This window comes from Homo sapiens, chromosome 8, assembly GCF_000001405.40.
Source record: "Homo sapiens chromosome 8, GRCh38.p14 Primary Assembly".
NCBI lineage: Eukaryota > Metazoa > Chordata > Mammalia > Primates > Hominidae > Homo > Homo sapiens.
The window spans coordinates 19265276-19291663 of record NC_000008.11 but is presented as its reverse complement, the minus strand read 5'-3'; the positions used below and the strand labels follow the sequence as shown (position 1 = coordinate 19291663).

The 26388-nt window shown below is 41.7% G+C and overlaps 1 long non-coding RNA gene across 1 annotated transcript in view; it reads right to left on the bottom strand.

Moving 5' to 3' along the window:
* Positions 1 to 14282: 14282 nt before the first annotated feature.
* The window catches only part of LOC105379300 (uncharacterized), a 31326-nt gene continuing 19220 nt past the window's right edge, over positions 14283 to 26388 (bottom strand). Inside the window, exon 5 of the long non-coding RNA XR_949537.2 lies at positions 14283 to 14403. This is a non-coding gene — a long non-coding RNA (uncharacterized LOC105379300). The remainder of the gene's footprint in view (positions 14404 to 26388) is intronic.

Below are 26388 nucleotides of genomic sequence, written 5' to 3'. Positions count from 1 at the left end.
CTGGCTAGCACTTACTGTTTCCAAGCCAGCATGCCTGTCTGAAAGTGAAGCTGTCTAACCAGCTTTTCAACTGACATCGCATGGGGAAATAATTTTTCAAGGCGACTCTTTACTTTTATAACTTCCTTGGATAGTCGTATTGTTTGAGTGGTTATGAAACACAGCTTGAAAAGTATTCTTTGATTTAAATACTTAGAGACGTAGTGAATGAAGCATAACAATTTTTAGTCATTGCAAAATGTTTTGCCTCCGTCAAGTATGCTTCATTATTTGGATTGTTGAATGGTCAATCAGTATAATGCTTTTGAAAGGGAAACCATTCTCTGAAAATCGTAAGCGTATTTATTAATAGTAATCATTTCCTGCTTCTTGACCTTCATGGATGTAAATCTATGCTGTCTTAGGTCGTTTGATTGTTTCACATGTGTAAATCTTGACTGTACATCCAGATTTTAAATTCCTTAAGGACATATCAAGACAGCTAAGCACACAATAAGTGTAAAACCTAATAAATACTGTTGCCAAAACAAATAGAAAATATACAGATACTAAATTATCATTAGGTACTAAAAATTAATTTTTTTTTTTTTGAGACAGGGTCTCACTCTGTCGCCCAGGCTTGAATGCAGTGACATGATCTCGGCTCACTGCAAACTCTGCCTCCTGGGCTCAAGATATTCTCCTGCCTCAGCCTCCAGAGTAGCTGGGACTACAGGCGTGTACCACCATGTCCGGATAATTTTTGTATTTTTAGTAGAGACAGGGTTTCACCATGTTGGCCAGGCTGGTCTCGAACTCCTGACCTCAGGTGATCCACCTGCCTCGGCCTTTCAAGGTGCTGGGATTACAGGTCTGAGCCACCGTGCCCGGCCTAAAAATTAAGTTTTAAATGATGAACAACATTTCAGAATTTATTTTGGAAAAAACTATTTAATCCCCAAGCGAGAAGCGAGTGCAGCCTCCTTTTTATTTATGTTGTAGTTAAAATTAAATGACACATCTTCATGAGTATAATGGAATAGTTATTTTTATAGGGCATTAAAAAAAGAATAACATGAGTTTCTGAAGGACATTCAATTCCATAAACAAATATACTTGTCTTTCCCACAGTAGAATTTAAAATAAAGTACTCAGCCTTTATGTTTGTATTTTTTACATTATTATTACAAAGAAGGCCATTTCTATCCCCATCCATGTTGCACCCTCGCTTCCCAACCTCGGCGGACCTAGAAGCCTTTGAGAGTGGCCTTCACAAGAGGGCTGTCTATACCCAATCCATGTCCTGTCCACAGCCGTACAAAGAGGCAGACCCACAAATAAAATCTAAATCTTTGAGCCAGAAGCATCAGCGATCACCTTCTATTGTTACTGAGTCCAAATCAAGGGTTTTAATTTTGGGGATTTTGGTGTGATGTCTGGCAATATTAATGCAGATGATGAACAGTTTTATCTTTTAGTATTAGTTGGTTTTTTTGTTGTTGTTGTTTGCTTTCAGAGACAGAGTCTTCCTCTGTCGCCCAGGCTGGAGTGCAATGGTGCTATCATGGCTCACTGCAACCTCTGCCTCTGGGGCTCAAGTGATCCTCCCACCTCAGCCTCCCAAATAGTTGGGACCACAGGCATGTGCCACCATGCCCGGCTAATTTTTGTATTTTTTTATGTTGTTGTTGTTGTTGTTGAGACAGAGTCTGGTTGTGTTGCCCAGGCTGGTCTTGAACTCCTGGGCTCAAGCAATCCACCCACCTCGGCCTCCCAAAGTGCTGTGATTCAGGCATAAGCCACTGTGTCCAGCCAGTATCATGTTCCTAAACAGTGCCTTTCACATAACTGGTCTTCAACTTGGAAGCTAGCATACACATGACCTTGAGGAATGACCCATGATAGACGGCTGTGGAAAGACAAGGGCAAAAAGGCCAAAAAGGCAATGAATGTTTTATACAATGACTCTCTCAAAACAGGTGAAGAGAGGCATGAGATGAAACATACAACGCTATTAGGGAATCCAGGCTCGGGGGTGAGAAGCACATTCTCACCAGTGTGCAAGCAGGGTGGTGAAGATACAGGCATAGAGAGAGACAAAGAAGAGGTGCATGACAAGCTAGCGGGAGAGAAAGGACAGATATTCCCAAGGAAACCTAAAGAAAGCTACTCTGGGCAAGTCATCTCCAGGCCTCAGTTTTCTTAGCTTCAAAATGAGAAGAGTGGATTATTTCTCAGTGTTATAGCAACTCACAGAAACTAACTCTAGCAGGCCATTGCAAAAGCAAGAATGTACTGGAAAGATGCTGGAACATGTAGAATCCAAAGAAGGGTGGAAAACTAGGCCACAGAAGCAACAGAGACCAGAAAGCTCCAGAAAGCTGAATTTGTGGTTTTCTTTCAAGCATCTTGCTGTGCACAGGATTCAGCTACAATCCCCTTCCCTGCCTCCAATCCCCTTCCCTCCCTCCAATCCCCTTCCCCGCTCCAATCCCCTTCCCTCCCTCCCATTCCCTTCTCTCCCTCCAATCCCCTTCCCTCCCTCCCATTCCCTTCTCTCCCTCCAATCCCCTTCCCTCCCTCCAATCCCCTTCTTTCCCTCTGCGTCTCTCAACTTGGAATTTTCAATTTCTAGAACAGGCAGTCTGCTCAGCCCAGGGTGGGTCAGCTGTTCACACCTGGATTCATCACTATGACCAGGAAGATTGGATCTTCAAGTACAGCCATAGCTATTGGCTCACCCTGTGTTTTGGGTAGGAATGAAGCTAGGTGACAATTTCCAGAGAAAGGCAAATAGATGAGATCTGGGTGCCCACTCCAATATGTTTTTAGTTCTACCTAAAGTTTAAGTAAAAATAATGTAGTTATGAAAATATTTACAAGTAGGTAAAATAAATGCCTTAACGTATGACTAAAGATGAATAAGGTTGATCAGGAAGAGGTTCTTGGAAGCAAGAAGGTTTATGAATGGAAACTTAAAGATTTGATGAGTCGCTGTCTATTCCAGGTAGAGGGAAGAAAATGCACAGAGACTCAGAGAGTCATTTTTTTGGGGAGAGCAACCACTTTGCTGGAGTAGCCCAAAACATTAAAGTCAGAGAATAAAGAGCTTTAAAGTTAATTAGATTAGAGGTAAGATAATTTGGCAAGGGCTTGTAGGTGGGAGGCTACCCAGGGGAGCAGCATGTTATAATGGAAAAAGCATTTTAATAGCGTCCAGGAAGCCTGGATTCTGCCATGAATTAGCAGTTTCTGTTTGGGTAATCAAGTTCCCTTGGCTTCAGTGTAGTCACCTGTAAAAGAAATCTATAATTCCACCACGGGCAATTGCATTTTATTTGTTTATTTAAAAAGTGTTCATTGACCAACTACTATGTGCCAGGCAGAACTCTAAGCGCTAAAAATTCAGCAATGAAACAAAACAAACTGCTTTCCCTTGTGCAGCTTTATTGATACCTAATCAGTAAAGTAGGAATCAGAACAATGATTAATTCAGATACATGACGATCATAAGTCTTGCCTTATTTTCTTTTTCCTGCATTTCCTGTATACACTTCCTTTCCAGAGCCTCCTCTTGGGGCTACATGATTCTTTAGACAGCTCTCTCCCTCTGCTCTATCAGATAGTAGTTTCATCATCAGAAAATATTTGCCAAAGTCTTAAATTGGAGTTCTTGAAGAGTCCCCCCAAAATAGTGCCACTCTTTTTCTTCCCCCTCAAGTTCTGAACTAATTAAAAAATAAGGGGAAAACATTTTGTTTCCAAGATGGCGGATTGGAGACACTGTTAGCCTGCCTCTCCCCTTGGAAAGACAAAATAGAGTGTAGGGATTTATGCTGTGAACTTTTTTCAAAGAAGCAACACAAGAACTTAACAAAACAACGGAAAGAAACTACAGACCCTTTGAAAGAAGCAGAAGGCGGCAGCCTACACCATGAATGAGCCAGGCAGAAAACTGTGAGTCCCTAGAGCATGAGGTGGAAGACGCTGCCTCCATGATATTCACTCCTACTGTGGGGCCTGGCAATCCAGGCCATGGGGTGAGGCCTTAACCCTGCCCAGTGCTGATTTTGTAAGCGGTAGGGAGTGTATGAGAAGGAGCAGCATTGGGATGTGCTTTTTGTGCATTCCCAGACTCCAGCAGGGACAGAAGGAAGCCATTCATGATCCTACCTAATAGGGGACCTTGCAGAAATCAGCCAGCTAACTCAGGTGGTGGTCACAGGTTGAGAGAAGCTCCCAACTGAGATTTGTGATATAATTTTGAGTGGTGATGAACCCCCTTGTCCAGAACTGAGGCACAAGCAGTGTGTGTGCTTTAGCCACACGTGCAGGAGCTGATTGTGCTGTTTCACAGGCAGACCAGGAGAAGTGTAGTTGGAAAACCTCAGTTTCTGTCTGGATAGGGAAGGTTTATAGCCTGGGGCAGTTCTGGGTTCAGAGTGCAGGCTAACTCCAACCCAGCTAGCTGCTGCTGGTGGAACACTGCATGTGTGAGACCTGCCTTGCCAAGCGCATGGGAGCTGGATAGGGCTTACTGCTGCCTGCTCCTCCCCACTCCTTGTGCAGATTCTTCTGTGCAGCAGAGGCAGCTTTGGTCCACCTGGATTATTACCCCAGTAGCCAGGGAACCGCCCTCCAATCTCCACTGGGGCCGCTGCTTGCACCTGTACATGGGAAAGTAGGATACAGCCTTGCCTGGCCCAGCGCCACCTGATTTTGTCCCTCTACCTACCCTGGTAGCTTAGTATAAAGGACAGGTAATTTTGAGAGCTCCATGGTGCCACCCATTGTCTGAGACACCAGAATACCTCCCCTGGATAACATAAGGCAAGCACAAATCCCACCAGTACCACTGCAACTGGCATTCTTTTGCAAGCACGCACCACCTCCTAGCTGGAGGCCAACCAATACATGCCATTACAACATTTGCAGGTACAGTAACACAGTGCCTAGGAACGAGTACACTTTTGCACAACCTTAGCTATTACCCAAGCCTGCATCACCCTGCCTAACCAGGAAGGCTTCACTCTGTCTACATGACCAGTACGTTACCAGTACACCTGGCATTTGAGAAGAACAACATACTAAGGTGATTTATAAGGAAGGAAATCTCACAGAGTCTACATCATTCCCATTCCAACACCATCAGAGTTGTTGCTGGTACCTGCTGCTGGAAGGCTAAAAGAGAGGTCACATCACTGGATCTTTTGTGGACATCCCCTAGCACCAGCCTGAAGTGTGGCAGTCCCACTGCACAGCTAGACCCAGAGAAGCAGCAGGATTCACAGTAGTCTAGCTCTCAGGGATTCCTACTTCTAAGGGAAGGGAGAATGCACCACATTAAGGGAGCATACTGTGGGATAACAGAATCCAGTCGGTAGGACTTGAGTCCTGGAACTTTCTGCTTACAAAATGTTTCAGCAGAGACACAAGTGGAATGCTGGGCTCAGTGGGGAAAGTCTGCAGCTCTACCCCAACATTCAGGCAGCCCCAAGGCTCATGAAGCATCTTGGAAAAGGAGACTTCTTCTTCCTCTCACCCACCACTGCAGACACAGCGGAGGCTTCGCCCATGGGAGCTCAGCATGGGTGCAGCTGTAGACAGCCTTTCTGTAACACTTCAGGGTGACTACATCCCCATAAGAGGAGTGCCATCCAGGTTTAAGTTTGCATGAGGGGTACAGTCACAAGACCCATCTATGTGGAACATCAGCATTCCTGCAGATAAAAAGAAGTGCTTGTTTGATTTGAATGGCTAGAACACTAGGTAAGAAGTGTGACTGACAGGTGGATCACCTTCCTGCTGGCCTAGTAGGAGAACTAAAGTGGCTCCCATCCTTTCCCCAAAAAGGTCTCAACACATGTCACTGAGAGCTTCCCCAGCTGCCTCTGGCAAGGCTGGGTCCTCTGCCCACCATTGGGTGTTATGTTTACCCACCTGCTTTAGCCACAGCTACTTTTTACCTGTGGAAACTTCCTACTGGCCTGAAGCCTAAACTATTCAACCCAGTGAGGAAATAAATGGGGAAAAATAAATAAATAAGTGCACACCACTGGGTAATGAGATAAGCTTCATGAGACCTCTGCCATTTCAGCCTCACAGGAGACAGTGAAGCCACTCACACACAGAGCACATTGTTACTACAACTAGCACCTGAGAATGTGATCACACAGAGACTCTCTATAGCCAAGGAACTCATACAGAATCTTCACCACTGAAAGCACCCAGAGCCAAATTAGGTTACAATAAACTATAAATATTAAAGCCACATCCTTAAGGGGGGAAAAAAACCTGAAATTTTTTTTAAAGCACAGTCAAATGAAAAAAAATTTCAAAATGATTAGAAGAAATAGTCTATCCAAATGAGAAGAAACTAGAAAAATAATTCTGGCAATATGAAAAAATACGGTTCTATAACTCTCCTCAAAAGATCAGCAATGAATCCAAACCAAGATGAAAGCTTTGAAATACTAGATAAAAAATTCAAAAGGTTGATTATTAAGTTATTAAAGGAGATGGAAAATAAAGGCAAAAACCAACGTAAAGAAATTAAAAGAATTCAGGGTATGAATGAAAAATGTTCTAAAGAGATAGATATTTTAAAGAAAAACCAATCAGAACTTCTGGAAATGAAAAATACAATTAGAAAATTACAAAATGCAGTTGAGTTTTAACAATAGACTAGACCAAGTAGAAGAAATAATTTTAAAGCTTGAAGACAAGGCTTTTGAATAAACCCTATCAGACAGCAGAAAGAAGAATTTAAAGAAGGAAACAAAGTCTTCAAGACATACAGGATTATGTGAAATGGCCAAACCTAAGAATCACTGGTGTTCCAGAAGGAGAAGGAAAAGCAAAAAGTTTGGAAAATGTATTTGAAGGAATAATTGAGGAAATCTTCCCTTGCCTTGCTAGAGATTTAGACATCTAAATATAAGAAGCTCAAAGAACTACTGAGAGAGTTATGAAGAAGGACATCACCAAGGCATATAGTCATCAGATTATCTAATGTTGACATGAAAGAAAAAATTCTGAGAGCAGTGAGACAAAAAAGCATCAGGTAACCTATAAAGGGAAATCTATCAGACGGACAGCAGACTTCTTAGCAGGAATTTTATAAGCTGTAAAGGATTGGGCTCCTATCTTTAGTCTCCTTAAAGAGAATAACTCTCAGCCAAGAATTTTGTATCCAGCAAAACTAAGTTTCATAAATGAAGGAGAAATAAAGTCTTTCTCAGATGAGCAAATACTGAGAGAATTTGTCACTGTCAGACTAGTCTTACAAAAAAAAGTGCTAAAAAGAGTTCTAAATCTTGAAGAAAAAAAAAAAGGTTCACATGCACTAGAGTATAAACTCTTGATAGCCTAAAATTTACAGGGCCTATAAAACAATAACAAATGAAGAAAACAAAGTAACTAGATAAAAAGCAACATGATTTTGGGAACCGTACCTCACATCTCAATATTAACAGCATTAAATGTAAGTAGTCTAAACGCTCCGCTTAAAAGATACAGATTGGCAGAATGGATTTTAAAAATCACAAACTTAATATGTGCTCTCTTCAAGAGACACACCTAATACATAAGAATTCTTACAGATTCAAGGTAAATGAGTAAAAAAACATTCTGTGCAAATGGAAATAAAAGTGAGCAGGAGTTGCTATTCTTACATCAAATAAAACAGACTTTAAAACAACAATGGTAAAAAAAGACAAAAATGGACATTACATACTGATAAAAGGATCAATTATACAAGAAGATATAATGATAAAAGGATCAATTAAACAATGCAATAACAGTGGGGGACTTCAACACTCTACTGATGGCACTAGACAGATCATCAAGGGGGAAAGTCAACATGGAGACACTGGACTTAACCTGCACTCTGGGACAAATAGACCAAACAGATATTTACAGAACATTCTACCCAAGAACTGCAGAATATACATTATTCTCATCAGCACGTGGAACACTCTCTAAGGTAGGCCAGATGATAGGCCACAAAACAAGGTCAGTAAATTTTAAAAAATCAAAATTATGTTAAGTATCTTCTCAGTCCACAGCAGACTAAAACTAGAAATCAGTTCTAAAGGAAACCCTCAAAACTATACAAACATATGGAAATTAAACAGTATGCTCCTAGGTGATTTTGGGGTATGAAATCAAGACGGAAATTTAAAAATCCTCCAAAATGAATCGTAACAGTGACACAAGTTATCAAAACCTCATAACCTGTAGTTATAAATGTCTACATCGAAAAGTCTGAAGGATCACAAATTAACAACCTAATGTCATACCTCAAGGAACTAGAGAAACAAAAACAATCCAAACCCAAAAGTAGCAGGAGGAAGGAAATAGCAAAGATCACAGAAGAACTAAATGAAACTGAAACAAAAAAATACAAAAGATCAATGAAATGAAACATTGGTTTTTTGAAAAAATAAACAAAATTGATAGATTATTAACTAGATTAACCCAGTAGAAAGAAGATGTAAATAAGCTCAATTAGAAACAAAAATGGAAACATTACAACTAAAACCATAGAAATGCAAAAGATCCTTTGAGACAAATATGAACATCTTTAGGCACACACTAGAAAATCTAGAAGAAATGAATACATTTCTGGAAACATACAATTCTCATAGCTTGAATAATCAAGGAAAAATAAAATCCTGAGTAGGTCAATAACAAGCAGTGAGACTGAATCAGTAATAAAAAATTTGCCAACAACAAAAAAAAGCCCAGGGCCAGATGGATTAACAGCCAAATTCTACCAAACATACAAAGAAGAATTGGCACCAATCCTACTGAAATGAATCCAAAAGATTGAGAAAGAGAGAATCCTCCTAATTCATTCTATGAAGCCAGTATCACACTGATACCAAAGCCAGGAAAGAACATAACAAAAACGGAAAACTACAGACCAATATCCCTGATGACCATGGATGCAAAAACCCTCAACAAAATACTAGCACAGTGAATCCAACAGCACATCAAAGAGATAATTCACCATGATCAAGTGGATTTCATCTTAGGAATGCAGGGATGGTTCAATATACACTATACAATAAATATGGTCCCACCACATAAACAGAATTAAAAACAAAACCCATCTGGTTATGTCAATAGGCACAGAAAAAGCATTCAATAAAATCCAGCATCACTTTATGATAAAAACCCTCAAAACACTAGGCATAGAAGGAACATGCCTCAAAATAACAAAAGCCATATTTGACAAACCCACAGCCAACATCATACTGAATGAAGAAGAGTTGAAAGCCTTCCTCTTAAGAAATGGAAGGAGACAAGGATGCCCACTTTAACCACTTCTGTTCAACATAGTACTGAAAGTCCTAGCCAGAGCAGTCAGGCAAAAGAAATAAACGGCATCCAAACTGGAAAACAGGAAGTCAAACTGTCTCTGTTTGGTGATGATATGATCATATACCTAGAAAACCCTAGACTCCTCCAAACGACTCCTAAATTTGATAAATGAATGCAGTAAAGTCTCAGGCTACAAAATCAATATATGCAAATCAGTAGCATTGCTATACACCAACAATGACAAAGCAGATAATCAAATTGAGAATTCAATCTTTTTCATATTAGATACAAACAAATAAACAAAAAATCTAGGAATATACTTAACTAAGGAGATGAAAGTTCTCTACAAGAAAAACTACAAAATACTGCTGAGTTAAATCACGGATGACACAAGCAAATGGAAATACATCCCATGCTCATGGATTGGAAGAATCAACACTGTGAAAATGACCATACTGCCCAAAGCAATCTACAGATTCAATGCAATTCCTATCAAAATAACAACAAGATTTTTCACAAAACTAGAAAAACAATACTAAAATTCATATGGAACCGAAAAGAGCCTGAATAGCCAAAGCAATCCTAAGTGAAAAGAACAAATCTGGAAGCATCACTTTACCCAACTTTAAATTATACTACAAGGCTATATAGTAACCAAAACAGCATGGTACTGATATAAGAGCAGCTACATAGACCAATGGAACAGAATAGGGAACTCAGAAATAAAGCCAAATACTTAAAACCAGCTGATCTTTGACAAAGCACACAAAAATAGAAATTGAGGAAAGTACACTCTATTCAACAAATGATTCTGGGAAAACTGGATAGCCATATGTAGAAGAATGAAACCTGATGCCTATCTCTCATCATATACAAAATCAACTCAAGATGGATAAAGACTTAAGTCTAAGACCTGAAACTATAAAAATTCTAGAAGAAAACCTAGGAAAAACTCTTCTAGACATTGGCCTATGCAAATAATTTAGGACTAAGACCCCAAAATCAAATGCAACAATAATCAAAATAAACAATTGGGGCTTAATTAAGCTAAAAACCTTCTGCACAGCAAAACAAATAGTCATCAGCGTAAATAGACAACCCACAACCTGGGAGAAAATATTTGCAAACTATGTATCTGACAAAGGACTAATATCCAGAATCTACAGTGAACTCAATCAAATCAGCAGGAAAAAAACAAATAATCCCATTAAAAGTGGGAAATGACATGAATAGACATTTCTAGAAGATATACAAATGGCTAACAAACATATAAAAAATGCTCAACGTCACTAATCTACAGAGAAATGCAAATTAAAACGACAATGGGATAGCACCTTACCCCAGCCAGAAAGGCCATTGCTAAAAAGTCAAAAATAATAGATGTTGGTGTGGATGTGGTGAAAATGAATACTTATACACTGCTGGTAGGAATGTAAATTAGTACAACCTCAGTGGAAAACAGCATGGAGATTTCCCAAAGAATTAAAAGTAGATCTACCATTCTATCCAGCTATCTCACTACTTGGATATCTACCCAAAGAAAAAGAAGTCAATCATTATATTAAAAAAGACACCCATACATGTATGTTTATCATAGCACAATTCACAATTGCAAAGGTATGGAACCAACCTAAGTGCACATTAACTGATGAGTGGATAAAGAAAATATATATATACACTATGGAATACTGTTCGGACATAAAAAAGAATGAAATAATGTCTTTTGCAGCAACTTGGATGGAGTTAATCATTACCTTAAGTAGAGTAACTCAGGAATGGAAAACCAAATACCATATGTTACCACATACAAGTGGGAGCTAAGCTATGGGTATGCAAAGCATACAGAATGGTATAATGGACTTTGGAGACTCAGAAGTGCAGAGGGTGGAGAGGTGAGGGATATAAAACTACATATTGGGTACAATGTACACTACTCTTGTGACACTAACACATCAGAATTCCCCATTATATAATTCATCCATGTAACCAAAAACTACTTGTACCCTTAAAGCTACTAAAGTAAAATTTTAAAAAATTAGACAAGAGGAAGGCAGATGGAACACCTAGATGACCCTTTTATTACTGATAAATGCTAGGGCAGTTTGTACCTGCTGACCAGAAGGAATTTGGGCACTGAGCCCCCGGATCAGACACACCTACACCTCAGGTCAATTCAGGCTCTCCACCTGGCAGCCTTCCCTATACTGTTTCCTGATGGAGAAGCAGAGCTGATTGCAGTTTTCCTTGGAGGAGCAGAGCTGATCGTAGGTTTCCTACAGACAGCTGGTTCCTAGGAGGAGGAGAAAGCCCGTCCTGTGCATGTCCAATTCCCCTTCCTAATTCACTATCAGCAAGTCACTATCCGCCAGGAACTTACATGCTACTGTGATATTGTTAGCTTGCTGCTGAATTCTTTGCTATCGGGATGAAGGGGGAAAGTTTTGTTCCACTTCTCCTACAGAAACAGGGAACCCATGAAATAGTTTCCTGTGTAACACTGTTCTCTTGTTTAACTAACGCTGTCATAAGTATTGTCATGCAGCCCATGCTGGCAAGTTGCTTAATCTCTCTAGATAATATTGTTGTAGTTCCTGGGGGCTATGGTGAGTTTTCCATCAATATCTTGGAAATTAGGAAGACTGCTCCCATAAATGATGAGACACAGATATGTCATTTGAAGGAAAAATAACTACCAGGTCAACAGTACTTGACTGATGACATGGCCAGACCTGCATCAGCTAGTATGGTGGCTCACGTGTAACTATTTAAACTAAAATTGAGTAAATTTAAACAAAGTTAAAAATTTAGTTCCCCAGTCTCACTGGTCACATTTTAAGTGCCCACCGATAATGTGGCTAGTGGGACAACATAGATCGAGGACATTTCCGTCAACACAGAAAGGTCTGTTGGACGGCACTGCTCAAGAAAAGCACTAGTTAATTCATAGACGAGTTGGTGAGTTGATTAATCTTTGAAGTACAGACAATGGAAAGCCTTCAAGTCAATCCCTGGCAGTGACATTGTATCAGTCTGGGTGCTGGTAGAAAACAGGTAGCACACTTAAAGATTAATTGAAGAGAGTTTCATAAGGAGGTTAACAAAGGTGTGGATAGACCTAAGAGAACCAACAAGAGATGGTGGAACCTCCAGGGCTTTTGCACAGTTGGGAGCTATCCCCTCCTCCGCCGCTGCCCCAGGCTTGGAAGGAGAAATGACATCACTGGACCTGGCTAGATAGAGCTCGGCTGTACATGAAAATAGCCACCGCCAAATTGATGAGCCTGCAGTGGGAAGTTTGGGGAAATATCCCGATTCCTTCTCTTCCTGTTCATCAACTGTCCTGCTGGTGACTCCCACTGGTGTCTGACCAGAAGTCAAAAGAAATAAACCCAGCAGGCAAGCTGTAAAGGCTGGGGTCTTGGGGCACAGAGCAGGAAAGAGAAGCATGGAGAATGAAAACAGGAGCAAAGGAGATGAATCAGCTCTCTCACCAAGCTCTGCCCAAAGCAGAGGGAGCTTTGACTTGGGCTGAGCTTTGTGGGGGAAAGTCCTAACGTAGAGATAAATGCTGGAGGCTTGCAGTGGTGCTGTTGTTCGGTTGGCTTCCCATGTGGGTCTGACTTCATAGAAAGGAATATACTCAGCACGTGGTGTTCACGCCTGTTCATTGGGCAGTTTTCTCTCTCACTGTTAATGAAAACGTTGGCAATTTGAAAAAGTGTTTCTGATCCAGCGAGGCCAAAGTCCATACACCTTGGTCCAGAGTAAATTTACCAAAGTGAGGAACACTGCCCTGTGAAACCTTATGGGAAACATCCAACAGACCTTGCCCTGATGAGGACTCTAAAACATTGCTGTGGGCCCGAGGGGACACATTGTAATTCCTCCAAATAACATCTGCCTCATGGAATTGCCAAGAGTGTTCAAATACACGTCTTACATAAAGCACTTCGCACAGTGCAAGAGAAGCAAGAGGCAATTAGTTCATTCATGTGAGAAATATTCAGGAATATCCACCACGTGTTGGTCACTGCTCCGGGCTGTGGAGATGTAGCAGTAACAAAGCAGACAAAATGGCTGGGCGCCGTGGCTCATGCCTCTAATACCAGCACTTTGGGAGGCCGAGGCGGGGAGATCACGAGGTCAGGAGATCGAGACCATCCTGGCTAACACGGTGAAACCCCGTCTCTACTAAAAGTACAAAAAATTAGCCGGGCATGGTGGTGGGTGCATGTAGTCCCAGCTACTCGGGATGCTGAGGCAGGAGAATGGTGTGAACCCGGGAGGCAGAGCTTGCAGTGAGCTGAGATCACGCCACTGCACTCCAGCCTGGGCGACAGAGCAAGAAAAAAAAAAAAGCAGACAAAATTTCCTGCCTTCTTGAAGCTTATAGCTTATATTTAAGAGAGGGACCAGGATAAAAAGCAATATGGCCAAGTAAATCATGCATTATGTTAGACAGTAGTAGGTGCTGACAAAAATAATGCAGAGAGTGGGTCTTGGAAGGGGAGTTGCAAGTGTAGATAGGGTGGTCAGGGAAGGCTTTTCTCAGTGTGAATTGTGCATAGAAGCCTACAGGAAGTGAGGGAGAAGACATGTAGACATCTGGGGAAGAGCTATCAGACAAAGGAGAGAGCCTGGACAGAGGCCCTTGGATGTGAGCCTGCCTGACATGCTCCAGGAAAAGGGAGGTGGCCAGAGTGCCTGGAGCATAGGGAGGAGAAGGCAGAACTGGAGGAGATTAAGGCAGAGCTGAGGGTGGGGGCTGGATGGCAGATCAGGTAGGGCTTGCAATCAATATATTTTAATGACTTTCCTACTCTCCAGCCTGAAATTATTCACATTGCCTCCTCATGCCATTATTGAACTCTTTTTCGTACGTAAATGTTCTGTTTGATCTCTGTGAGGTGCTCCTTCTCAGCAACCTGGAAGCAGGGCTCATGTCATCTGTATATATCTCTTTAACTTGCCTTATTTAGCATAACGCCTCACATCAAGTTGATTCCCAATGGATGCTGATTGAGGCAGAAATTCCCATTTGGTCTTCAATTTGCTGCAGAAAAATTCAGTGATGTCCCTGTCCCAGCATCGTGTGAGCTGTTCAAAAAGAAAGCACAGCTTTTTAATTTGACAGCAGAGTGAAATAACCTTAGCTCATCTGCATAGTAATAAAAACCCAGGCCATACCCTTCAGGAATAATAGCTCAGTTCATCATTCAAGCAAAGAAAAACAGAATAATTTCAGTGTCTGTTTAAACTTTCACATAATCTTTTGACCAGGACCTAAGCCATGTTCAGCAGCCTCTAACAATAGAGGCTGAATGTGCCAGCCAAGGGCCAAGATTGATAAGCTTAGTAGCTTCCAGGGCAGCCGCAAAGCCCAGCGTGCAGAAGACCCTGCGGTGGTTGCACCCATACATCACCTGTCTTTTTCAAAGGAATGACAGCCTGAGTACTGTGCTGTGCTAAGATACTTGATTGAAATTTCTCAGATAAATCAAAATGAACAAGATGTGTTTGCACTTGAATCCAAATGAGGTTCCCCAGTACCTCAACCAGAAAGCAGAAATATGAAGCCAAACCAAAACTCAATTTATTTCATAGTGGTGCTATTATGTTCTTACGTGTTCTGTGGTCCACAAGGCAGTCTGTCTTCCTTGGGATGTCTTTTTTATTTTGGTATCTCTCCCAGACCTACAGTTCCCTGATCCTTCTCTTTTCTTATAATTTTTTTCCCCTTCATCTCTTTTTTTTTTTTTTGAGATGGAGTTTCACTTTTGTCACCCAGGCTAGAGTGCAGTGATGTGATCTCTGCTCACTGCAACCTCCGCCTCCCGGGTTCAAGTGATTCTCCTGCCTCAGCCTCCCAAGTAGCTGGGATTACATGCACCCACCACCACGCTTTGATAATTTTTGTATTTTTAGTAGAGATAGGGTTTTGCCAGGTTGGCCAGGCTGATCTGGAACTCCTGACTTCAGGTGATCCACCTGCCTTGGCCTCCCAAAGTTCTGGGATTACAGGCATGAGCCACTGTGCCTGGACCCCTTCATCTCTTAATTTACCTTCATATCTCATGGCCCCATTTCCCCCCATATATCCCCGACTAGATGCTTGGCTCTTGTGCGGGAGGCACCATGTCTGAGAATTCTAACTGCTCGCCCCTCATCCCATATGCCTTCAATAGTGCTGCATGTAGAGTTGATTCTCATGTTGTTTTAATCTGACTGTTTTATTTATGTAGATAATCATCTTGTTCCAATATAAATTTGAGATGGCTTACAGAAATACACATAGTTCAGCAGGAGATTAAACCAGTGTCTGAATGGAGAAATTGTAGTGAAAGGGTGATATGATTTGGCTGTTTCCCCCCAAATCTCATCTTGAATTGTAGCTCTTATAATTTCCACCTGTCGTGGCAGTGTCCCAGTGGGAGGTAACTGAATCATGGGGGAGGGTTTTTCCTGTGCTGTTCTGGTGATAGTGAGTAAGTCTCATGAGCACTGATGGTTTTATAAAGGAGAGCTCCCCTGCACATGCCCTCGCTTGCCTGCCGCCATGTAAGATGTGACTTTGCTCCTCCTTTGCCTTCAGCCTCAATTGTGAGACCTCTCCAGCCATGTGGAGCTGTGAGTCCAGTAAACCTCTTTCCTTTTTAAATTACCCAGTCTTGAGTGAGTATATTTTTATTAGCAGCATGAGAACAGGTTAAAACAGGGGGATTAAAAACAATGGCCTTCATCTCATTTACGGTTCTTTCTTGGGTTCTTCCTATAACTTGTCCTCTTGAGATATAACAAACACATTACATGGGCCAGATCTCTTTATAGACACTGCCCTCCCCTGAGCCTGCTCCAGAGCCAGTGCAGCCCTGCAGGTTGACTCACTGCGGTAAACTGTGTACCCAGGCCTGCTCTATGCAGGGGCTGCTTTGAGATAAAATACTTCTTGTGTAATTGTTTTAGTTTATAAGATTAATATTTTTCTTCTCAGGGACTGTGTCCACAATTAAGGAAAAAGGCTACCAGGTGAGTAGTGATATTTGGCAGGCCAAATATGGGATGTGGTTAGTTGCGTCATAAAAAATAAAGTACACTTTACTAACTCAATTTTGGTCTACATTTTACTTTTCTCTTATTATAACAGGAAAATTACAGAATATTTAGAAAGGAAAGAAGTTACCTACCATCCAAATCAAAAAGGCAACTTTTAAAAACATTTGCTTCTAAGCTTTTTGCCAGTTATAACAATAGAGACTTATGTTGTACTTTTTTCCTTAACATTATTTGCTGTGCAATAATTTTAATATCTGCATAATATCCCTTTTATGTTTTTCCATAACCATTCTCCATTAGTAAGCATTTAAATTCCTTCCAGTTTTTCATTATTATAAATACTGTACTGAGCATCTATGAACACATAGGTTTTTTTTTATTTTGGATTATTTCTTTAGGGCAGATTCCCAGAGGTAAATTATGGCCAATGGGCTTTGATATTTTTTAATTCTTTACACATATTTCCAACTTGCTTTCGAAGTGTTGTGCTGATTTATGAAGTCACCCCTGACGTAGCAGATAGTCTGCTTCATAGAGCCTTTTCCAGCTCTGGGATTGTGTTAAATCCGTAAATTAACTTGGAAGGAAAAAAGTATGTTACTCTATTCGGTCTTGCAATTAAATATATCTATTGTTCTATTTGTTACTGCTGCAGTTATTATTTTGATATATATGTATATGAATTATAGGTATTATACATACATACATATATATGTTAGATGCAGGCAATAAGAGGATTCCTCAGGCCTTTCTCTTCTCTTTGCTTTTAATGTTCTTCCTTACCTGCTTTTCTGTCTTCTCCCAGCCCAGCACACTCTCCAGGCCTCATCTGCCTGCACACCCACATAATATCTTAAAAATTCACAAAGGTAATAATAAAACACAAAAACTGAGTGGCAGAGATAGCAAGTGCACTGAGGCTTGAATAAAACTCTGTGCTAGAGACCAAGTCACTGGATTCACATGGGTGTCAATGAGATCAGACCCACCCTGGAAGTAGATTAATGGGGCTGCTGACCCCCTGTCCACTGGCTGATGGTGAGAATTTTGAAGCGTCCTTAATAAGGCTCTCATATAGAACCTGAAGAGTCTCGGTCCTTTGACTTTGTGTGTACGGTGTGCGTACATGCTCTTGGCGTGTGTGAGTGTGAGCTGATGAGAAGGGCGTTCCCAGCAAGATTCCTTGGCACCATTCTCTAGTTTTAGGGGCGAGTGCAGTGCAGTGTGTATTGTTTGCTGTTTGCACAGCGGCACTTCACTGCTCCAGGGCCAAATGATGACAGAGGTAAAGTCTGGGATGCTTCGACACCACTCCCACATCCCTGTGCTGTGTCCCGGCTCTCCTCTCTTGCTCCCAGCCAACGGTAAGAGGCTAAATGCCTGGGTCTGAACTGGTCCCAAGATCTGAACTGTAGAATCTCAGAGCTAGAAGACATCTCAAAAGTCACCTGGCTCAACTCTGTCTTTTTCTATACATGAGGAAAGTGAGGCCAAGATAAATAAAGTGGCTCAAGTCAGTTTAGTTTGTGGTAAAACTAGCATTAGAACCAAGGTGTCCCGGGCAAAAGGTTAACAGACAGGGCCACTGGCCCTTGATCTACCTTGCGGGAAGTGCATGGCTGTGGGTAAGTCAGTCACACAAGCTTTCTCATTTACATACTTTTTAAACCACATCGGCCTATCCAAAGGGCCACTACAAGGATTAAATTGAATAATGGATGTGAAAGAGGGCTTTTGAGACTGTGTTCCGCTCATGTTATATGTTTAATATTCACAGTCAGTAATGGACTAACGGTGGGACAGTGGATACCACCAGCTTCCCATGCAAACAATAAGAGGCCGCATTATCTGTTGAAAACGTAAAAACAATTATAAAACTGACTAAAAATTAGGTTGCTTTTGTTATTGTTGTGTTTGGCAGTTTTAAATCATGTCAGTGATAAAATAGTCTTTCCTGAAAAATTATTTTGTAGGTCGCCATTGCAAATAATTGTCATGGTTACTATTGAATTTTAATGATATGTGTGAAAGCTTCAACTTAGCACATTTTTGTTTCTTAACCTCTAATAAGCCTTGTATTCCACATGAAAGTTAATTCCAAGGTCTCTCAGCTAGAGATGCTAGATTTAACAATAAAGATAAGAGATGCCCAGTTAAATTCGAATTCCAGGTAAACTGCAAATGATTTTTAGTATAAATATGCCTCATGTTTATTTCAGACATACTTATACCAAAATAAACATTGTTGTTTGCTTGAAATTTAAATTTAACAGATGTCTTGTATTTCATCTGGCAAGTCTACTAATTATACATGGGAACACAAATACATGCTTTCATTCAGAGAACAAGTTTATCACAGCTGTGAGTGATTTGAACTCACCTGAGGCACAGTTTTTGTCTACAACCCTGGTAGTAATACACTTATTTGAATTTAAACAGTAGATTTAAAATAAAGCTAACACAGGAATTATAAGGACAAAGAAACTGAAAGTGTCCTTCAATTTTGTCCTTCTTCAAGTGGCCACCTGGAGCTTTTATATGGTTTTTTAAAAATTTAAGAGTGAAATAGAATATGAACTTCAAGGTATCATATTTTTGCTTGGTAAGAGCATGTTTTAGTTCACATGACACGTGACATATTTTACTGAATGTTATGGGTTGAATTGTGGTTCCGCAAAAAGATATATTGAAGTCCTAATCCCCAGTACCGCACAATGGGACTTCATTTGGAAAGAGGATAATTGCAAATGTAATTACCTACATTAAGATGAGCTGACACTGGAGGAGAGTGACTCCTTAATCCAATATGGCTCGTGTCCTTAAAGGAGGAGGAGAGAGACCCACAGGTAGATGAATGCCAGGTGAAGACACAGGCACACAGAGGCAAGGCCATGTGACAGCAGAGACAGAGATTGGAGCGAGGCAGCTGCAAGCCAAGGAGCACCAAGGATTACTGACCCCTACGGGAAGCTAGGGAGAGGCAAGGAAAGAGTCTCTCCTCCAGGTTTCAGAAGGTTTCTCCCAGGTAGGTTTCCCCCGCTGACACTTTGATTTGGGACGTCTAATCTCCAGAACTGTCAGAAAAACAATTGCTATTGTTTTCACCCACCCAGTTTTTGGCACTGTGCCCAGGTCCACCACCTACTAATTGCATGACTTAGCTCATGTTTCCTAATCTCCCTGAAGCACAGTTTCCTTATGTATAAAAATGGGGCTGGCCATGCCCACCTCAAACTGTTGGAATATAGTGAGATCATGCACATAAAGGGCTCAGCGCTGTGCCTGGCATAAGATAATGATATTAATGTGCAAATGATATTCACTTCTCTTCTTATGCTGCTGCTATTGTAATGGCACCTTCAGGAGTGATTTCTCTAGGAGTAGTGCCATGTAATAATGCTCCCTGGAAGACCATGTTCTCCAGATGCAGAAGGAATGACTCTCTGGGGGTTGAATTTTAGGCATGACAGAAAATTTCTACACGTGGAAGCCCCTTTGCAGAAGATGTATTTAAATCCCGGCCCCTGCAATCCCAGCACTTTGGGAGGCCGAGGCAGGTGGATCACGAGGTCAGGAGATCGACACCATCCTGGCTAACATGGTGAAACCCCGTCTGTACTAAAAATACAAAAATTAGCCAGGCGTGGTGGCGGGCGACTGTAGTCCCAGCTACTCGGGAGGCTGAGGCAGGAGAATGGCATGAACCCGGGAGGCGGAGCTTGCAGTGAGCCGAGATTGTGTCACTGCACTCCAGCCTGGGCGACAGAGGGAGACTGTCTCAAAAAAAATAAAATAAAATAAAATCCCAGGCTCTTATCAGCCACCCATGACTGGACACATAGTAGCTTCACTTCAATTTCAGCCCTCAAACTCCCAGGCTGTCCAAGAGACATTCCACACATGGATGAACAGGAATGAGCAACCTTGAATAAACATGATGTTGCAAGAGAAGGGTCACTACCTGAAGAGGGCGTCCTCTAACCACAGGATTCTCTTTTTATGATTGATTGATTGATTTTGAGATGGAGTTTCGCTCTTGTTCCCCAGGCTGGAGTGCAATGGCCTGACCTCAGCTCACTGGAACCTCCACATCCTGGGTTCAAGCGATTCTGCTGCCTCAGCCTCCCAAGTAGCTGGGATTACAGGCACCTGCCAACACGCCAAGCTAATTTTTGTATTTTTTGTAGAGATGGGGTTTTACCATGTTGGCCAGGCTGGTTATGAACTCCTGACCTCAGGTGATCTGCCCGCCTTGGCCTCCCCAAGTGCTGGGATTACAGGCATGAGCCACCCCACTCGGCCATATGCTTCGTACTGGGAATCCCACAAAACCACTCATTGGCAATGGAGGAAGCTCAGAACAGTGACAGATGCCACTGCCCTTAACAAGATTGATTACTATGCTTGAGAGTGGCCTGAAATTGGTGACCCGGGGGCCAGAAGCCAGGTTCTAGAATAACATAACAATCAGCATGTAGCCAGAATAATAATTCTAGTAATAACACTATGATAGTGAAGATGGCAATTTAAACAGCTGGCATTAAGTTTTTACTGTGTGCTAGGTACTGTAAGATGTGCCTTTTATATCTTACATTTTAATCCTATAAACAGCTATGTGAAATTGTTATCCCCATTTTGCAGATTAGCAAACTGAGCCTCAGGGGGGTCATTAATCTGCCTGGGATCCCAGGGCTAGTAAGTGGTTGGGCCAGGGCACAGACAGGGCACAGAAGCTACTGCCACCATGAGTGGCCAGGCACAAAGGAAGCAACAGAGTTGCCCAGGGCCTGGCTCTCTCTGCTCATCCACATGCCTGGGGCCAGAGGATCCACTCAGTAAATATTCATGCAATGCCTACCATGTCCCACGCATCGTGCGAGGTGCCAGAAATGACATTGAGGAAGCAGGTGGTACAGTGCAGGCTACGAGGTCCCATCCTTCATCATCATGCTGAGCCTTTCAAACATTTTCCTTTTGGAGCCTCGGTCTTTCCCTCCACCTTCTAGTGGCTGGGCGGGTTAATCCATGCAGGGCAGAGGCCAGGTTTTAGGACATTTAGGTCATTTCCACCCTAGAAGGTGGGAGAAGAGCACTGCCAAGTTCTTCCCTCTTCCCACATGAACATCTCATCTTCAGCACCATGATCATGCTCATTCTCTGGGTTCCTCCGAGGAGGCTGGCACCAGGCTAAGGGGATCACACACTTTCTCCTTTCCTTTCTACAACCTGTTAGGAAGAGCTTATGAGATAGGCCCATTGTATTCCCATTTTATACATGAAGCAACCAATGTTCAGAAAGGTTAAGTAAGGGCCAGGTGCGGTGGCTCATGCCTGTAATCCCAGCACTTTGGGAGGCCAAAGTGGCTGGATCGTGAGGTCAGGAGATCGAGACCATCCTGGCTAACACGGTGAAACCCCATCTGTACTAAAAATACAAAAATTAGCCAGGCATGGTGGTACCTGCTTGCAGTTCTAGCTACTCAGGAGGCTGAGGCCCGAGAATCCCTTGAACCTGGGAGGCAGAGGTTGCCGAGCTGAGATTGTGCCACTGCACTCCAGCCTGAGAGACAGACTGAGACCCAGTCTCAAAAAAAAAAAAAAAAAAAAGAAAGGTTAAGTTAAGTCTGCCTGTGCTGCTCAACTGACACACGGAAGAGCTGGGATTGGAACTCAGGTCTCCCTGACTTCAAAGCTCATGTTCTGTATATTACCTCATACCGACTTTTAGAACCAATTAGGCTGAGAGTGGCAGAGGAAGGAAATAAATACCATTAAACACGCAGTCAACCTTTAAAGTTGTTTTCAGCCATCTGCCCTGGCCTTTTCTTTCAAGGCTGGAATTGCTCTCGCAACACGACTAAATGTCCTAAGTTGTTGCATGATGCTGAAAAACCCAAGAGAGATTCCAGATCCTTCTAAACAAATCAGATGGTTTAGTCTGTGAGGCAGGGGACATTACAGAGACAACAGGAACTTAGTGAAATCTCAGTCTCTGACCCTTTTTCTAAATAACAATTCATCTGAGGAGACTTTATTTTATTTGTTTATTTATTTATTTATTTATTTATTTATTTATTTATTTATTTCGAGACTGAGTCTTGCTCTGTCACCCAGGCTGGAGTGTAGTGGCACAATTTTGGCTCACTGCAATCTCTGCCTCCCGGGTTCAAGTGATTCTTGTGCCTCAGCCTCCCAAGTAACTCAGATTACAGGCATGTGCCACCATGGCTGGCTAATTTTTGTATTTTTAGTAGAGAAGAGGTTTCGCCATGTTGGCCAGGCTGGTCTTGAACTCCTGGCCTCATGTGATCTGCCCACCTCGGCTTCCCAAAGTGCTGGGATTACAGGTGTGAGCCACTGTGTCCAGCCCCCACCTGAGGAAACTTTAAAGGACAATTGAAGGACTTTAGACTTTCCTGGTGTGTCACTGAGAGCCAAAAGTCCTTTGTTTTGAAAACTTCTGCTACAATTTTCCCTTCCCTAAGCCACTCCATTCTCAATGGCATGATCAGTCTTACCTGCAGCAATTTTGTTATTGTTGTTGTACTTAGAAAATCTCTGCTATTGAGAAGAATAAACAGAATGAGTGACTTTATGAGATGTAGGATGAGAGAGTCACACGTTTTCAGTTTTTAAAACTAGGGTTGTATGTTCCTATATCTATACCTATACAAAGAATCATCATTGTCAAAAAATTACTGCTGTGGGTGGCAATGGCGGTGACAAAGGGGCCTAGTGACCCCAAGCCTCACACGGGGACTGATACCAACTTTTACTTATGTTCACAGAACCGAAAAACTGCAGATTAAAATACCCAGGATCTTCATTTGTATGTTATTTATGGTTTCTGATTTACCCCAAGATTAAAATTTTCCTAGGTATAAAGTAGCTGTGTTACCAGGCCACCCTCCTGAAATAGTGTCTTTCTATCTTCCTTGTCAAAACTTGCCAGAGCCCTTCATTTTTGCTTCTAGCTGGAGTAGTTCCTAGGGTCCTATAACTTCCTTGTAGTTATTTTATGGAAGACTTATTGAGTTGAGAGCTGTTTTGATTGGCTTAGAGCCGATGTTGGCATACAATATAATATTTATTCAATGTGGATCAGGTCCATGGGTTCTAATATCTTGCTTTTGTTGTTTTAGGGCATATGTTTTCCATATGATATTGATATTGTTATTTCTATGCATCCCATAAAGCTGCCCAGCTGTGCATTGGCTGAGAGATAGAGTATGTAGGGCACCTAACCAGGTGACTGCCTAGCCAAAGAGCAGCAACTGATTTTTCCTTTCTTCCTGCTTCCCTCTCTCCAGCCCTCTCCTCCCTCTCTCCTTTTTGCAGAATCTCCCTTTAGGGTGGGCCTCTATTTGCTGACATTAAGAGAATATGAATTGGGTGGCTTACAGCCTTTGCCTTTTTATGGGAATTTCCAAGTTTCCCGGGTTCACCGCATTCAACCTCGTAAAGTTGCATGAAATAAAATGTTCTTCCAGCAGGCGGCACTGGAGGCTTCTGGAGGCTCTGGAAGCCACCGGCTCCGGGAATACACAGAAGTCCTCTGAGGGCTACAGTCGGAAAGGAGACCCGCTTTCTCAGTTCGTTCAAGGACAGAGATGCATGCCCGGGTTTTTATCCTGGAATCCAACAGCGGCGTCATATGATCCTTTTACAGACAAGACTCAATTGAGGCCATGCAGGAAATTGGTGAATACAACCTTCTTAAGTACTGCAATCCTGAATAAATAAGAATGAGTTTGCCAAATGCATGCATTGAGAATAAGCCTGGCAAAACTCCAAATGTTAGTGGTTTCAGATATGCTGTGTTAACAGAAACTGGGCTGACTAAAGGGGGGAAAACAAATCAATGAACCAAGCAAACCAAACGATTTAAGTATAAATAGAGCATTTGATGATACAGTGATTCTTTTTTTAAAAAAAAAAAACTTATTTTAAGTTCAGGGCTTCATGGGCAGGATGTGCAGGTTTGTTACCTAGGTAAACATGTGTCATGCGTGTTGGTTTGTTGTATAGATTATTTAATCACCCAGGTATTAAGCCTAGTATCCGTTAGTTCTTTTTTCTGATCCTATCCCTCCTCCCACTCTTCTCCCTTTGATAGGTCCCAGTGTGTATTGCTCCCTTCTGTGTGTTGATGTGCTCTCATCATTCAGCTCCCCCTTATAAGTGAGAACATTGTGGTATTTGGTTTCCTGTTCCTGCATTAGTGTGCTAAGGATAACGGCCTCTGGCTCCATCCATGTTTCTGCAAAGGACATGATCTCATTCTTTCTTATGGCTGCATAGTATTCCATGGTGTATATGTATCATATTTTCTTTAGTCTATCATTGGTGGACATTTAAGTTGATTCCATGTCTTTGGTATTGTGAGTAGTGCCACAATAAACATACACATGTGTGTGTCTTTATAATAGAATGATTTATATTCCGTTGGGTATGTACCCAATAATGGGATTGTTGGATTGAATAGTATTTCTATCTTTAGGTCTTTGAGGAATCGCCACACTGTCTTCCACAATGGTTGAACTAATTTACAATCCTACCAACAATGTAAAGCACTCCTTTTTCTCCACAAGCTTGCCAACATCTGTTATTGCTTGACTTTTTAATAATGGCCACTCTGACTGGTGTGAGATGGTGTCTCAAAGTGGTTTTGATTTGCATTTCTCTAATGATCAGTGATGTTGAGCTTTTTTTTCACATAACTGTTAACCATGTGTATGTCTTCTTCTGAGAAGTGTCTGCTCATGTCCTTTGCCCACTTTTTGATGGGGTTTTGGTTTTTTTCTTGTAAATTTAAATTCCTTATAGATACTGGATATTAGACCTTTGTCAGATGCATAGTCTGCAAAAATTTTATCCCATTCTGTAGGTTGTCTGTTTACTCAATAGAGTGGTTCTTAATCAGAGATACTCATTAGAATCACCCTAGCTTAAAACAGGAAAACATTCCTCGATCCCACTTCTGAATGTTTGTGTTGGTTAAGTCTGAATAGGATCTGGGAGTCTGTATTTTCTGAAGTTGCATAGAATGCATTCTCTTAGCATCTAGTACAGAGCTGCAAAGACCCTTTGTATTACTCTACCGTCCACTGTGTGTGATGTAATGGGAAAACACGTCATATTTACGTGAGCTTTCATGTTTCTGAGTCAGTTTGCTCTTCTGTAAAATGGGCCAAGTTGCAGAAATGGACTAGTTTTCCTAACCCAGTGTCCAAACATTGGCTATGACCAGGTGCCCAGTCTCCCCACATCCATGCATTCTCTCCCTAGCCCTCCAAAAAAGTGCATTGTGATTATGCCGATTGGAGAGACATCACTATTCTTCAGATCTTTGCCTTTCCTCAGTAATCACTTATAATATAGTGAGGTCCTTGCCAGAATTAACTTGGTCCTTTCCCTAAGGTTTGTAAGTGTTAGGAAATTGAGCCTCTCTCATTTCGTAGTCTAAGAAGTAGCAAATAAGTCTCAAAACAGTGCTCAATCAGGTCACTAATTATTTAATGATTTGGGAATCAGAGACTTCTCAAAGGAATAATTAAATCTGTTCACAGTAGGAGAAAAGTAACATACGGATATAAGTGTTTTTGTTTACTTTTATTAAGAAAAGAGACTACTAGAAGAAAGACTCCCTGAAAAGACATCGAACCTCTGAACACTCAGGGTAGACAGTCTCTTGGGGAACACCCAACTGACATCTTCTCAAACGTGACAGCCCATCCTTCTGCTAAAACTGGCCACCTCTGTTAAGCTCCAATCGTTCCCTGCCTCCCCTTAACTCTCTTTACCTGACACCTTCCTCCACGCCCTTCAAGAGGAAATCAAAGGTCGGCTTCTGTGTGGTGTCTCCACCTCTTCTCCACATTTTGATCCTGCCTCTCAGGCTCACTTATACTGTAAATATCTGTCTTTCCCTTAAAGTGTGAGCTCCCTGGAGAGGGGACTCTGGCTCACTCAAAGTAGCTTGAATATCTGAATGAACTAGTTAGTGACACAAGATTAATATACAAATAG